The following is a 16,171-nucleotide window of genomic DNA, read 5'->3' as shown; positions in this document are numbered from 1 at the left end:
TTCCATGGGATTAGATGAGTGCCACTTTGGAGGGTATGGTAAGCAATATAATGACTTCTCCCACCCAATCAATAGGAAAGAAAAAAAAAGAAAGAAAAAGGAGAAAGATTCGCAAGGTAAGATATAGTCCTTTCACCAGGTGTGATTAAGAGCAGCTCCAACAAGATATTTTCTGCTATGCTGAATCCAAACACTGGGCTGAAAAGTGGATTGAATGTAAAATTGTGGGATTGTACATGCTTCCGATGAAAAAAGAAATAAGAAAAAAATAATCTTTTGTGTTCAGAAAATACCCTGTCTTTTGGAGTTTATTCTATGTCTGTACCCATCTGCATTTAATAGTAAAAGCTCTAAGCCTGACCGGGTGCAGTGGCTCACGCCTGTAATCCCAGCAATTTGGGAGGCCGAGGCGGGCGGATCACCTGAGGTCGGGAGTTTGAGACCAGCCTGACAAACATGGAGAAACCCCGTCTCTACTAAAAATACAAAATTGGCTGGGCGTGGTGGCGGGCGCGGTGGCAGGCGCCTGTAATCCCAGCTACTCAGGAGGCTGAGGCAGGAGAATCGCTTGAACCTGGGAGGTGGAGGTTGCAGTGAGCCGAGATCGCACCACTGCACTCCGGCCTGGGCAACAAGAGCGAAACTCCATCTTAAAAAAAAAGAAAAAAGGAAAAAAGCTGTGAGCCTTCCCTACCTGTCAGCATGAGGAGAGCTCCCACGGTGAGAAGGACAAAGCCTACCAGAGAGATGACGCTCCGGAAAAGAACTTCAAATTGTTGTGGATTCAACTTGCTGCGCAGGTAATCCACAAAGGCATGGATCTGGCAGAGACCAAAGACCCCAAAGGCTGCCATGTGCTCTGATGAAAGGACAGGCTGTAGGTAAAAGGATATGTATGTTAATACTAAGGAAAAAAAATGAGTAAGTCCAGTGCAGGCCTGCATTATTCTTATCTAGTTCAAACCAAATGGTCAAATGAGTTCTGAGGCCCCGAAGGAATCAGGGCCAATCTAGGGAAGGGTTTAATTCACCAGCCATATTTTCTACAGAATATTTGCAGCCCCCTAAAGCATAAGATACACTATCATTATCACATCTCTGGCTTTTGCTCAGGTTATTTCCTTAGCCTAGACTGTAATTTTCCCCAAATTCCCATCCACTAAAATTCTCATCATTCAAGGTCCAACTCAAATATCATCTCTTCCCAATCTGCCAAACTGAAATCAATCACTCCTCTCTATGTTCCATATCACATTAGTTCTCTTCTAGCACTTAATCATTCTTTGCCTTAGATCGGTGGTTCTCAAATGCTAGTGGGCATCGTAGTCACCAAGGAGGTAGGAGTGTCGAAGCACAGATCGCTGAGCCCCACCTCCAGAGTTTCTGATTCAGTAGGTCTGTGTTGGGGCTCTAGAATTTGCATTTATTTCTAACAAGTTTCTAGCTGCTGCTGCTAGTGATGATGATTCAAGAACCACACTTCCAGAACTGTAGCCTATCGGATATAGACAGCTGCCTGTATTTCTTTCCCTGTAAGAAGACCAAAACTTCCTTAAGGACTATGACCGCATTTTTATTCTTTTTACATTTTCAAGTGATTAGCAAACTGCATATACAAATGCTTTTCAACTTATGATTGGGTTATATCCCCATAAACCCATTTTAAGTTGAAAATATCTTAAGTAGAAAATGCATTTAATACGCCTAGCCTATGGAACATCACAGCTTAGCGTAGACTACCTTAAACATGCTCAGAACATTTAACATTAGCCTACAGTTGGGCAAAATCATCTAGCACAAAGCCTATTTTACAATAAAGTGTTGAGAATCTCATGTAATTTATTGACTACCGTACTGTAAGTGAAAAACAGAATGCTTGTATGGGTACTGGAAGTACGGTTTCTACTCAATGCAGATCACTTTCACACCATTCTAAAGCCAAAAAATCCTAAGTCACGCTTCATAAGTTGGGGACAATCTGCAGTAGGTAATCAGTAAAGAAATACTTGTTGACCTCTAGATAAGGTTTGCATTTTCATGATAATTTCACAAGAGAAATCAAACATACCACATTATTCTTTGATTTAACAGTTGTCTGTTAACCCTGTGGAGCAATGTGGTTAAAGGTTTGTGCTTTACTTCCTGAAGCACTTACAATTAGATGCCATTAAGATCAGGAATCTCTGCTACTACATGGGGTCATCTGCATTAAGAAGACTGGAAATTTTAACTCTGATCACTCATCTAAACTCAACTCAACTAAATATCCCTCCCCTTCCCACAAACTTAAAGCCAAAGTAAGAGCCATGGAATTCAAACTCCACGGAGCAAATATTAGCAGACTCCTGGATGCAAACTTTAATGACCAGTAATTCTGTTGCTTCAACTAACACAAGTAGTTCAATATAAAGGCTGTGAATAAGTCGTACTCTTCTTAACAGAATCTAAGATAAATCAGTCTAGTTGGGGCTGCATAGAAAAAGTAGAAGCTGAAAACCCTACTCAGTCAAGGGCTCACCTGGAAACCCACAAAGGAGATCTGCATAGAAAGTATAGTGCCCAGGCAGTAAACAGTACAGTAGGCCACATAGATCCGGTGAGAGAAACGGCCTGTGAGCATCAGCACGAGGACGTGGAGAGGAATTAAGTTGATCAGGAACACATAACCTCCCCATGACGAGACCTATGATGGAATAGAAAAAAACAGTTCCTCTGAGTATGCCTCCTCAGACCACCACCACTATATTGTAGGATATCACCTGTGACTCTTTAAAGAACACTTATAGTAACTATAACTTTATTTATGCCAAATGGCTTAAAGAGTTCAAATAACTGATTTTTTTTTTTAAACAGGAAAATCAAGTCCTTACATGTACAGGTCACACAAAATAAAATAAATTTTAAAAAAGAAAATATAAAATCAAGTTCAAACCCATCACTGTAACTCAATCCCCTGCTCCCTTGTGGTTGCTGATGTCATGATCACATAACGAGAGGGACTCAAGCCTCAGAATTAATCTAAATGCAATCTACTGTAAGGTCACACAGAGGATTTAGGGATATGTGAGCAAGTGGAAGCAATTAAGGAAGTCTACATGTATACGTAAGTATGAACAGAAAAAATATACTGGAAAAGAAAAAAATTTAGGGGAACCTACCAGAAAAGAAAGTTGGTCAAACAATAAGTACCCATAGGAAATACAGTATTTAGAGAACTTTAAAAATTGAAAACATGTAGAAAAAGTTACCATGTAGAAATAAGCAAGGGCACACTTAGCTGCCCAACAGATGGAACCAGTCTTTACTGCCTTGATCCACATGTAGTAGGTGAGTAGCATGCAAAAGATGGCAATCCCTGCAGAAAGGACACACCAAAAATTCAACAAGAGGCCAGGCTAGTATAGTCATTAAGAATACTGTTCTGGAACAGACTGCCTGGATCTACTACCAAGTAATAGTGTAATTTTAGGCAAATTATTTACTTCCTTTTGTTTCAGTTTCATGTAAGAAGAAGTAATAGTATCTACTTCATAAAAGTGTTCTGAAAACAAATATAATTAATGCCTGTAAAGCACTTAGAAGAGTACCTAGCATATAATAAACATTAAGTAAATATTGGCCATTATTATCATTCTTTCCAAGCACTAAACATCCTGCTAGTATAGTTCTAAAGACATCTTATACTATCATTCATCATCCTGCCTCTATGTCTTAACATATAATACTCATGCCCCAATTGCCCCTTTCCTTGATATCTGCCTAATGAAGTCCCAACTTCAGGACCCAGTTGACCCTCAACCACTTCTAAAAAGCCTTCCTTGATTCTCCAGTCTGCTTTTTTTTTTTCTTAAAAAAATAAAAATAAAAACAACAACAACAACAACAAAAACAGGGTCTTGCTCTATTACTAGGCTGAAGTGCAGTGGCAATCACAGCTCACCGCAGCCTCAACCTCCCAGGCTCAAGCGATCCTCCCACTTCAGTCTCCAGAGTAGCTGGGACTATAGGCGCACACTACCATGCCCAGCTAATTTTTGTATTTCTTATAGTGACAGGGTTGCCCAGGCTGGTCTCAAACTCCTGAGCTCAAATGATCCACACACCTCAGCCTCTGAAAGTACTGGATAACAGGGCGTGAGCCACCAAGCTCAGCCCCAAATCTCTCCTTCCACTACATTCCTGAAGTACTCTGTTCAAATTTTTATCATGGCACATAGTACTATCTCCTGTCACTGGAGTTATATTTACATGTCCATTTTAATCTTCCTTAATAGATGATGGGCCAATATAACCTTATTCATTACCTATCTCTTTAATTTCTTATAATTATGCACAAAGTAATCTTAGTCATTACCTAACACTTAATACTATGTTTTCCCAATAACATTCAACAAATGTATGTTGAATTGAGAATAAGTCAATCAGTCATTAAAATTTTAAGGACATCCACTCCCTTTATGTAGGAAAATAAAGCAAATGATTATAATGTTAAAACAATAGTTAACTATTTTATGAGTGCAGAGATGAACCAAAGACTTGTAAGAAAAGTTACCAACTACCTTTCTGGAAAGGATGATGGGAAGAGAACATGAGCTTGTCCAAGATCCGTTCCTGCCCATTTCTAATATTCTCACCCAGTTACCATTTTTATTATTGCTAAACCATAGACTGCACTTTGTGAAGCTCTGTTGGATAATGAGGTGAGATGATCTTCTTCAGCATTTTAAAAGTCTTACCTTCATTATCATAGGAGCCAGCCACAGATCGGGAGATATATCCAGGAACTACAGCAATCATGGCAGCAGCAAGAAGCCCAGCCCCTGCATCCTGTAAGAAAAAAAGGGTAATAAGACATTAACACCAATACAATGCTGAGAAAGAACAGAGGATCCACTAGTCCATTCTGTTTATAATGAGCCCAGAAAACAGTCCAACAATTTCGAAGGTAGATGTGAGATGTTAGAAATGCTAGAAATGCTCACAGCACAAGCAAGCTAAAAACTTCATGACCAATTCCCCATGATGACACCAAACCTGACACTGAGAACACATATGCTGAGGACAGACAAATCAAGTGAGATGTCAAACATCAATACTGTCCCAGAATGGGCTGTTTGGCTACCAATCTCCCCAAGCTCGTAAGTCTCTACCCCTAACAATATCTGTACATCATTGGAACACCAGTCACACCTCTAAAAGCCATGCAAGGACAATCAAAGGAAGAAAATTATTATTTCAGTTAAAAAGCCAAGAAAGCTAAGTGATAATCTACCTAAACTGAAGATGCCAGGAGCTTAGGCAATAAAGCTTAAATATCACCAGGCACCCTTTGAGCTCAGGAGAAAGGAGCAACAGATATAAGCCACATTCCAAAAAAGTAAAGACTTGTCTGTTGAAAGAGTCAAATTTGGGAAAGGGCAGCAAGGAGAAGGATCAAAAAGTTTTCCAAACTAAATTCAGGCTTCCCAAACCCCCTACTAGTTTATCACCTCTCAGGTATCTCTCTAACACCGCAGCACAAACTAAGAATAGCACCCAGGGAGCCAAGGTCAGCAATGCTGAAACCTGGAAAAACAGAGTCAGCATTATGGAGTCTACTACGGAAGCCAAATGGCTTAAGAATTTTAAAATAAAAAAAAATTTTTTTTAAATCAACAAATAATTGCTGAGTACATTCCTGGTAGGAAAAACTAACCGTTTTGGAATGTTTCATGTAGTTTTTTTTTCCTCTCCCTTACATTGTGAGGACTTCAAAATCCAAACCTCACATTTTGCATTTTAAATGTTTTTTTCTTTATGTTGCAATTTACATTTCACTTTCAACTGTACTCTCATAAGGACAAACAGTTGCTAATGATAAAAAACACATATTGCAGAAAGGGGTTGGAGTGAAGCCAATTAATTTGGCCCAGTAAAAGCTGTCTTCACCTTCTGGCTCCCTGCCTTTCTAAGGCTCTGTCCCCCACCCTCCAGCATCGATTAGAGAGGCTCAATAACATTCATTCCCAAGCCTCCTGTCACCCCAAATCCTTCACCTTGAGCTCTTTGGTAAGGTGGTACGTGACGATGGTGGTGAAGGAGGAGAAGAGAGGGGCCAGGAACACACAGACATTCCGAATGTCGATGGTGATGTGGAAAAAATGGAGTACATGGTAGATTGCAGCAGAGGTGATCATTAAACCTGTAACAGGAAGAAGAAACTCCATTAGGTTGTCTTACCAGAACTTAAGGGAAAAAGAAAGGGAAAATCCCAGATACAATAAAGTGACTATGTAAGTCTTGACAAATCACCAGAAATACTAACATAGCAACTGCAGTAAGCCTATAAATTTCTCCCCTAAGGATTCAATCAGAAGTCTAGAATGTATAAAAACCACCCATCTCCACTCTACTACAAATGTACTCCTGTTTATGTAAGATGCACTTTTAGGAACCTGTAATCAGGATGAAATTACAAGTGTCACAAGACAAAGCTATTAGAAATAAAAGAAACTGGTTCTCTAGCATACAAATATTTCTGTTTTTTTTTTAAAAAAAAAAACACATCTGGTCTCCTCACCTGGGTAAATTGTTCCTCCAATGATTCGTCCCAAAGGGTACCAGGCTCGGTCATCAAACCAGTTATGGAATTTATAAAACCCCTCCTCAGCCAGGAACCTGGTAGTCCGATAATTAAAGTACCTATAGCAAGAAATAAACTTTGTTGTAAATTTGTGGTGAATTTTGCTCCTCAGGATACACCATTGAGAAATTCAGCATTACTCAATGAAAAATCAGTTTAACATCAGATATTATGCCATGAAAATCATTTTACACTACCATAAGTCTGTTTACTTCTATCTCCATGCTTGTCTCAACTAAAGCACTGCTTTTCTCATAAGGAAATGAGCCGGGTGCAGTGGCTCATGCCTATAATCTCAGCACTTTAGGAGTCCGAGGCAGGTGGATCACAAGGTCAGGAGTTCGAGACTGGCCTGACGAACATGTTGAAACCCCATCTCTACTAAAAATACAAAAATTAGCTGGGCACGGTGGCATGTGCCTGTAATCCCAGCTACTCAGGAGGCTGAGGCAGGAGAATCGCTAGAACCTTGGAGGCAGAGGTTACAGTGAGCCGAGATTGCCACTGCACTCCAGCCTGGGCAACAGAGCAAGACTCCATCTCAGAAAAAAAAATAAATAAATAAAAAGGAAATGAAACTGGAGCCTAACATTGTAACAAAGCAATCAAATGGGATACTTCAACAAGCTGACATGTGGTAGGCATTAGGACCAGTCAGAGAATTCAAGCACCATGAAGACAAAGCCACTGAGATGTGGGCACCAATAGATTTTGGCTTTCTTATTTATTTTTTTTTTTGAGACAGAGTTTCGCTCTTGTTGCCCAGGCTGGAGCACAATGGCACGATCTCGGCTCACTGCAACCTCTGCCTACGGAGTTCAAGCCATTCTCCTGCCTCAGCCTTCTGAAAGTAACTGGGATTACAGGCGCTCGCCACAATGCCCAGCTAATTTTTGTATTTTTAGTAGAGGCAGGGTTTCACCATATTGGCCAGGCTGGTCTCAAACTCCTGACCTCAGGTGATCCACCTGCCCCAGCCTCACAAAGTGCTTGGATTACAGGTGTGAGCCACCATGCCTGGCCAGATTCTGGCTTTTAAGTGACAGGAACATATTTTTAAAAATCTATACTGCACACAAAGACACATGAATAATTTCCAGTGATGAGAATCTTTAAAGATGTTGGTATACCATCATATGCAGGATGAAAAAATTTTAACCTACTTCATAACACAACTTTCTTAATCAGTGTTTAAACTTTTAACAAGGTCTACTCATGTGGTTATCTAAAATGCTTCTTATGTCACCTATATAGAAGCATAAAAATATAGATTACAGCCAGGCATGGCAGCTCATGCCTGTAAGCCCGGCACTTTGGAAGACTGAGGCAAGAGGATCGCTTAAGCCCAGTTCAAGACCAGCCTGGGCAACACAGTGAGACTCTGTCTCTACAAAACATTTTTTAAAAATTAGCCAGGCATGGTGGCACACACCTATAGTCTCAGCCACTCAGGAGGTTGAAGTGGGATGACTGCTTGAGTCCAGGAGGTCAAGGCTACAGTGAGCCATGATCACAACACTGTGCTCCAGACTGGGCAACAGAGCAAGACCCTTTCTCAAAAAAAATATAGAAAGATACACAGATACATAGACAACATGAAAAATATTTGACATAAAATGCTTAAGAGCTTTAAATGGAAAGATAGTTCTTTAGGCCCAAAATATGTAAGTCCTTAAGTTTCTTATTTAAAAAGAAATAAGGCTGGGTGAGGTAGATAACACCTGTAATCCCAATACTTTAGTAGGCCAAGGCAGGTGGATCACTTGAGCTCAGGAGTTCAAGATCAGCCTGGGCAACATAGAGAGACCCTGTTTCTAAAAAAAAATACAACAATCAGCAGGACTTAGTGGCACACGCCTGTAGTCCCAGCTACTCAGGAGGCTGAAATAAGAGGATCACCTGAGCCCAGGGAGGTTGAAGCTTCAGTGAGCCCTGATCATGCCATTGCACTCCAGCCTGGTGACAGAGCAAGACCCTGTCTCAAAAAATAAAATAAATAATAATAATAATAAGGCCAGGCGCAGTGGCTCACTCCTGTAATCTCAGCACTTTGGGAGGCCGACGCAGGTGGATCACCTGAGGTCGGGAGTTCGAGACCAGCCTGACCAACATGGAGAAACCCTGTCTCTACTAAAAATACAAAATTAGCCAGGCGTGGTGGCGCATGCCTGTAATCCTAGCTACTTAGGAGGCTGAGGCAGGAGAATCGCTTGAACCCGGGAGGCAGAGGTTGTGGTGAGCTGAGATTGTGCCATTGCACTCCAGCCTGGGCAACAAGAGCAAAACTCCATCTCAAAAAAAATTAATAATAATAACAAATAAAAATAAATAAGAGGCCGGCGTAGTAGTTAATGCCTGTTATCCCAGCACTTTGGGAGGCAGAGGTGGATGGATCGCTTGAGCACAGAAGTTTGAGACCAGCCTGTGTAACATGACAAGACCCAATCTACAAAAAATACAAAAATTAGCCAGGCGTGGTGGCGCGTGCCTGTAATCCCAGCTACTTAGGAGGCTGAGGCAGGAGAATCGCTTGAACCCGGGAGGCAGAGGTTGTGGTGAGCTGAGATTGTGCCATTGCACTCCAGCCTGGGCAACAAGAGCGAAACTCCATCTCAAAAAATAATAATAATAATAATAAATAAAAATAAAGAAGAGGCCGGTGTAGTAGTTCATGCCTGTTATCCCAGCACTTTGGGAGGCAGAGGTGGATGGATCGCTTGAGCACAGAAGTTTGAGACCAGCCTGTGTAACATAACAAGACCCAATCTACAAAAAACACAAAAATTAGCCAGGCATGGTGGCGCGTGCCTGTAATCCCAGCTACTCGGGAGGCTGAGGTGGGAGGATCACTTGAGCCCAGGAAGTTGAGGCTGCATGAGCCATAACTGAGCCACTGAACTTCAGCCTGGGTGACACAGCAAGACCCTGTTTCCAAAAAAAAGGAAGACAGACAAAAATAAACAAAGAGTCTCAAACTAGAGACAGTTTAATTACTATGGATAATCATGACTAACCGTCCTCTCTGCCCACCTCTCTAACCCTATTTCCTCCTTGGTCAGTCAAGTTTTGAAAGCTGAAGTAAACAGAAGCAACAGATGGCAGAAATCTCTATCCTTCTGTTTGTCACTGATGTTATTTTGGTGACTGTCAGAAACAGAAGAGATGAGGGTTGCAGACATCAGTATGTGTCAGAATTGTGTCCTTTAGCTACCAGTAGGAGAGGCAGAGTGAGAGAGGAAGTATAAGTTAGTAGGAATAGGTCTGGACTGCATTCACCACTCTGGGAATCAGTTTCCTCCTCTGCAAAAGGAAGTGTCAAGTCCCTTATGGTCCCTAACAGCTCTTGACGACAAAGCAGATGCTCTTGCATTCCTTGATTATCTAACATCAATATTTGCTCATTCAGAGGGTCTGAGAAAGAAGCCTAACAGATTGGGATCAAGAAACAAAAGTAGGCTGGGCATGGAAGCCCATACCTGTAATGCCAGTACTTTGGGAGGCTGAGGAGGGAGGATTGCTTGAGCCCAGGAGTTTGAGACCAGCCTGGGCAACATAGTGAGACTCCATCTCTACAAAAAATTTTTAAAAAATTAGCTAGGTATGGTGGCACATGCCTGTGGTCCCAGCTACTTGGGAAACTGAGGTGGGGGGATCACTTAGGCCCCACAAGTCAAGGCTGCAGTAAGCCGTGATCACTCCACTGCACTTCAGCTTGGGTGACAGTCAGACCCAATCTCAAACAAAAAAAGAAAAAACAAAAGGACATGTCTCCTCATTCATGAGAAAAAATATAAACTGAATTTGGGAGGCCCCAAACAGAATTATTTGTAATGCCTCCAAAATGCTTTCAAATATCTACACAAAACAAAATTATAAATTTGCAAATAGATGCAGGCATTTTCAATCAATACTCCACAAGATTGAATATACTATTTTTAAGATACCAATAATATTTCAAGAACCTATGATTTTGGCCCTCCAAATTTGTTATAAGCCTTAACTTTAGGCAATATAACACAGTGACTACAGTCTCTGGAGTCAGACAAACCAACATTCAAATCACGGTTCCTCCACGTACTGAATAATCAACCTTAGATAACCACTCCCAGCCTGAGTCTCCTCATTTCTTTTTTCTTTTTCTTTTTTTTTTGAGATGGAGCCTTGCTCTGTAGCCCAGGCAGGAGTGCAGTGGCATGATCTTGGCTCACTGCAACCTCCACCTCCTGCGTTCAAGCGATTCTCCTGCCTCAGTCTCTAGAGTAGCTGGGATTACGGGCACATGCCACCATGCCCAGCTAATTTTTGTATTTTTAGTAGAGATGGGGTTTTACTATGTTGGCCAGGCTGGTCTCGAACTCCTGACCTTGTGATCTGCCCGCCTTGGCCTCCCCCAGTGCTGGGATTACAGGCGTGAGCCACCGTGCCCAGTGGAGTCTCCTCATTTCTAAGAAGGGAATAATAGTACCTACATCTCAAAGGGTTGCTGAAAGGATTTAGAGATAATCTGTAAATTAGTGCTTGGAACAAAATGAATGCTTAGTAAATACTAGTTATTAATACCACTAAGGAATTCCACTATATCTTTTTCATCTAATGAACAAAATTCCTTATCAAACTGATAACTTTGAGTTTTTTCATTGCCCTAGAATTTAACTAAGAAGCCCAATTTCTATCACATAAATTGCTAAACAAACAAACAAACAGCAAAATGTCATGAATCTCAAGTCCATTGTTTGTGATTCTCTTCTGAGCCTGGAATACACACCAGGACCCTTTCCTTCAATCTGCATCACAAACTTTTACCAAACTGGGCAGCCAGAATTCTCTTAGCCTAGCCAGATCTTAAGTGATAGGCAGACATACTAGCAATGCCTCTCACATTTTTTGAGTTTCAGAGACTTACTTGGTCAATTCCAACACATACTTTTTTTTTTTTTTTTGTAGAGATGGGGTTTCACCATGTTGCCCAGGCTGGTCTTGAACTCCTGAGCTCAAGTGATCCCTCCACCTCAGCCTCCCAAAGTGCTGGGATTACAGGTGTGAGCCACTGTGCTGGACTCCAACACATACGTCTTAAAAGGAGATAATTATCTCCTTTGGAAGAATTTAAGGGTTTTTTTTTCCCTTAAATGTACTGAAAGCACATCTCTATCACTGAGAGCTGACTGAAATTTGAATCTGAAACCCATGAACCTGAATGCCTCCCAAAGGAAATAATACCAGATCAAGCAAAGGTACTCACGGATCAAACTCATGGATAACACTTTCAAATCTCAGGACAGCAAACAGACGAGTGGAGAAGGCTGCAAAAACCAGAGAGTTAATATTTTATTGGTAATGTGCCATGAAAGAACAGCAGATATAGTATTATAATGAAGACAGTATTATCCAGTAGAGAGGTCACAGAAAATATAAAATAATCCCTGAATAAAGTCTTTATCCATCTTTCCCCACATAAAGGAAACAAGAGAAGTTTACTTTCCCCTGACAATGGCATCTACATTTTCCACTTTCATAGGTCACAGTTAACTAATTATAAAAGCCTATAACATTACATTCACCTACTAATACCAAACTCAACTTACATGGTCATCTTTTATATACGCTGACTCCCCCACCATACACACATAACTAACCTTAACCTTGGAGCAAAGTAATAGGTATGGCAAGCAAAATTACACCTAGGACTCATGAAGAGCCAGAAAATCTAAAATACAGAGTAAACTCTCAAGAGACTTTCAAAAATACTATAGGAGACATCTAAATTGAAGATAATTGTCTTTTACAAAAATCAGTTATCCAAGGGTCCCCAATATCACTTTCAACCCTATGAGAAAACAGAATTGGCACAGCATGCTTCCCATTCTTTCAAAGATGATCACAGCCCTCTTTTTTTTGAGACAGAGTCTTGCTCTGTTGCCCAGGCTAGAGTGCAGTGGTGCAATCTCGGCTTACTGCAACCTCTGCCTCCCAGGTTCGAGCGATTCTCGTGCCTCAGCCTCCCAAGTAGCTGGGAATACAGGCATCCACCACCACACTCAACTAGTTTTTGTATTTTTAGTAGAGACAGGGTTTCATCATGTTGGCCAGGCTGGTCTCAAACTCCCAGCCTCAAGTGATCCACCCACCCCAGCCTCCCAAAGTGCTGGGATTACAGGCGTGAACCACTGCATGTGGCCCATAGCCCTGACTTTTATATTCCTTTTATTTTGCCTTCATAAAATTATACTAATGAGGAATGGAAAAATGTAACAATCTGCTAAAAAGAACAAGGCATTTTAAGATAGCGATTTTCAATTTTTTTCTAGACTTTCTTCTTTCTATCCCCAAAGAAAGAGAGGTTCACATGCACACTCACATAATACAGCAGCCATTGACAGAATGAGAAGCTTCAAAAGTGTGTCCTGCTTCTCATAGGACAATCGCAAAAATCCAAACTTAGTCATCTTGACATGAATGGGTGGCAACACACGACGATCAGCTAAAATGAAAAAGTCAAGACCACAAGATATTGAACACCTTCAATTTACTTAATTTTCATATTTTATGATGAGAGGGAATCATAAAGGACGTAGGAGCTAGCAAAAACACCAGACAGGGTCAAGGCTAATACTAGTATCCAAGCCTGGCCTAAAGTATGATCAACTTGCAAGGAAGTAGGCACAAGTCAGGTCTATGTGTCAAGACTAAAATGGAGTGGTCAGAATAAACCATCCATAATTCTATTTCCCACTCCTTCACAGCTAACAAGTACATAAGCACAATTAGCAATAGTATAGCACAAGGAAGAGATGAAAAAATAAACAGGAAAGATTGGAAATACTGAAAAATAATAAAATGGAGAAAGAGAGCACTCAAGAAAAGGCAGGACTATATGGGGTGGCAGGGGCGGAGGGGGGGAAGCAGGAAATAAACATTGAGACCAGAAGTGCAAGCCCCAGCAATTTCAGAGGCTAAGGAGGGAGGATCGCTTGAAGCCAGGAGTTCAAGACCAATCTGAGCAATACAGCAAAACCCCATCTCCACAAAAAACTGTTTAAAATTATGCAGGCTTGGTGGTCTGCACCTGCAGTCCCAGCTACTCAGGAGGCTGAGGCAGGAGTTGGAGGCTGCAGTGAGCTAGGATCACACCACTGCACTCCAGCCTGGACAATAGAGCCAGACCTCCTCTCTTTAAAAAGGAAAAAAAAAAAAAAAGAAGAAGTGAAAGGCATTAAGAGGAAAAATAGAAGTCACGACTGAATCAACACAATTTCGAGCCCTAAATTTAAACTTCAACTGAATGGCTATAAACTTTTTTCTTTTCCAAATCCCAATGGGGCTGTCGGGTCAACTAACAGCATACCTGATAACTAATGCAGGTACAATCATGCACTCAAAAAGAGGTGGAGGTACCCAAACACAGATCCACTGTGTTCTCATCCCATATATCAGACTGTAACGACTGCTCAGATCTATACCCGCTTCCAATCATCTGTCTCAAGGCTTCTCTGTAACTGACAATGCTGATTTAAGAGACTGATTAAATTACACAGACAGTTTGATGGCATCAGATGATAATCTAGAGGGAAAGAAAACGAATTTTTCCTACTGAAGCAGAAGAGTCGGGGGATTAAAAAAAGTAGATTAAAATGTTGAGGGACACTATCTGTAGGCAGTTCAAAATGGAAATCACATGACAGATATGAATTATTTATATAGCAATATAGCACTAATCTACCATAGGTTAGTTATTCTTGTATAAGACAGTACTACTATCTTTTTTTTTTTTTTTTTTTTGAGACGGAGTCTTGCTCTGTCGCCAGGCTAGAGTGCAGTGGTGCCATCTCGGCTCACTGCAACCTCCATCCACCTCCTGGGTTCAAGCGATTCTTCTGCCTCAGCCTCATGAGAAGCTGGGACTACAGGTGTGCGCCACCACGCCCAGCTAATTTTTGTATTTTTAGTAGAGACGGGGTTTCACCATGTTGGCCAGGGTGGTCTGGATCTCTTGACCTCATGATCTGCCCACCTCAGCCTCCCAAAGTGCTGGGATTACAGGCGTGAGCTACCACGCCCAGACCTACTTTTTTAAATTACAAGGTGATCAAGAGCTAAGTTATAACGACTATAACAAAGGATATGCAACACCATTCAAGATGTTTTGCTTTTATTCTTTTTGACTGACACATAATTGTACATATTTATGGAGTACAGTGTGACATTTTGGTACATGTATATAATGTGTAATGATCAAGTCGGGAAATAATTAGTAGATTCATCACCTTATTTTTTTTGTCTTAGGAATATTCAAAATCCACTCTTCTAGCTATCTGAAAATATACAACAAATTGTGTATTTTTGTTGTTAATTATACTCCTAATAATAGTTATCCTATAGAACACTAGAATTTATTCCTATCTAGTTGTACTTGTGTATCCCTTAACAAACGTTTGTCTATCCTCCTCCATGAATCTTTTTTCCCACTATTATTGGAATAAAGGAGAAAAACAAAACAACAACAACACTGGACTAGGTGGAAGGCATATAGAATGCTAGCCCCAACACTGAGAAGTCAAGCATGTTCTCCATAATTAACTGTCCCAGAAGAGCAGTTTAGAAATGTGTTTAAGTATAGTCCCAAAGGGAAAGCTTACTTTGCAACTAAAAATAAAGGCCTAACTACTCCAGGAGGTCAACAATCCAGCCATATCTCTCAGGGTTTGCAGCTGTTTTCTGGAATGCCTGAAATAGGAACAAACTTAACACCACTGCGTTGATACGAGCCACACACCAAAATGAGACTGCTAGGATCTCTACTTGAAAACTTGAGTAAACGAGCTAGTCATTGAGGGCAGGGCCGTAAGGGAGATTTCATCTCGTGCTCTTTGGTCACTTTCGCACACCGCCAAGCAAATAAGAGCAAAGACACCTTTCTTAAAACACTTACCAACCTGCTCTCCTCAACTGTGCCCTGCAAGCTGTGGCATCTCCTGCCACCCTGCCTCTAGTTTCCCAGACTGCAATTTCCCCAGCCCCGTTTTCCTACACACGTTTCCACACCCTCTCACGATCTTTTACTCTCTTCTCCCTTCCGGTCGTTCCAGCGGGTCCCACCTCCCTCTTCTTCCCACCCTCAAAGAACTGACCACCTCTGATACCCCTCAGCGCGGGACACTCATCACCCCAGCATCCTACGCGCCTTCCCCTCCATAACTAGTCCCAGGACCCAGTCTTTCCCACGCTCTGTTCTCAAGACCCACCTTACCCTCCCTCCCTAGACCTTCGCATCCTTCCATCCAGGAAGCCCCCACACCACGCCCCACGCCCCCTCCTCTGCAAGGCCCTAAGCTCTGCTCTCCACCCCCATTTAGAGTTTTGCCTCCTGCACTTCGTTCAGCCCCATCAACGCCATGGACTGCACCTGCCGCTGATTTTCAAGTTACGTTCTACGGCCTTCTCACCTGGCCGGCTTTCCTAAACGATCCGCGGGGCTCCCTCAGCCATCCGTTCAGCGGCGCACCCAACCCTGGCAGGAGCCGGGTCCGCCTCCCGGACCGCTCCCCCGTT

The 16,171-nt window shown here is 41.7% G+C and overlaps 1 protein-coding gene across 8 annotated transcripts in view; it reads right to left on the bottom strand.

Moving 5' to 3' along the window:
• Positions 1 to 16,171, bottom strand: part of STT3A (STT3 oligosaccharyltransferase complex catalytic subunit A) — a 31,323-nt gene that overhangs the window by 14,108 nt on the left and 1,044 nt on the right. For 2 of the 8 annotated variants that reach the window (NM_152713.5, XM_047426898.1), the window contains exons 1-9: positions 16,066 to 16,132; positions 12,981 to 13,103; positions 11,865 to 11,925; positions 6,560 to 6,681; positions 6,036 to 6,181; positions 4,737 to 4,827; positions 3,249 to 3,355; positions 2,519 to 2,683; positions 695 to 875 (exon numbers count right to left, since the gene is read on the bottom strand). In NM_152713.5, the coding sequence (NP_689926.1) occupies positions 695 to 875; positions 2,519 to 2,683; positions 3,249 to 3,355; positions 4,737 to 4,827; positions 6,036 to 6,181; positions 6,560 to 6,681; positions 11,865 to 11,925; positions 12,981 to 13,068 (961 nt within the window). In that variant the 5' untranslated portion in view covers positions 13,069 to 13,103; positions 16,066 to 16,132. Of the gene's footprint in view, positions 1 to 694; positions 876 to 2,518; positions 2,684 to 3,248; positions 3,356 to 4,736; positions 4,828 to 6,035; positions 6,182 to 6,559; positions 6,682 to 11,864; positions 11,926 to 12,980; positions 13,104 to 13,967; positions 14,184 to 15,258; positions 15,347 to 16,025; positions 16,133 to 16,171 lie in introns of those variants that run through there. The other 6 variants (XM_047426896.1, XM_047426895.1, NM_001278503.2 and 3 more) reach the window with 6 other exon arrangements.

Source organism: Homo sapiens, chromosome 11, assembly GCF_000001405.40.
Source record: "Homo sapiens chromosome 11, GRCh38.p14 Primary Assembly".
NCBI lineage: Eukaryota > Metazoa > Chordata > Mammalia > Primates > Hominidae > Homo > Homo sapiens.
The sequence above is the reverse complement of the archived record's forward strand: the minus strand, read 5'-3'. Positions and strand labels throughout refer to the sequence as shown.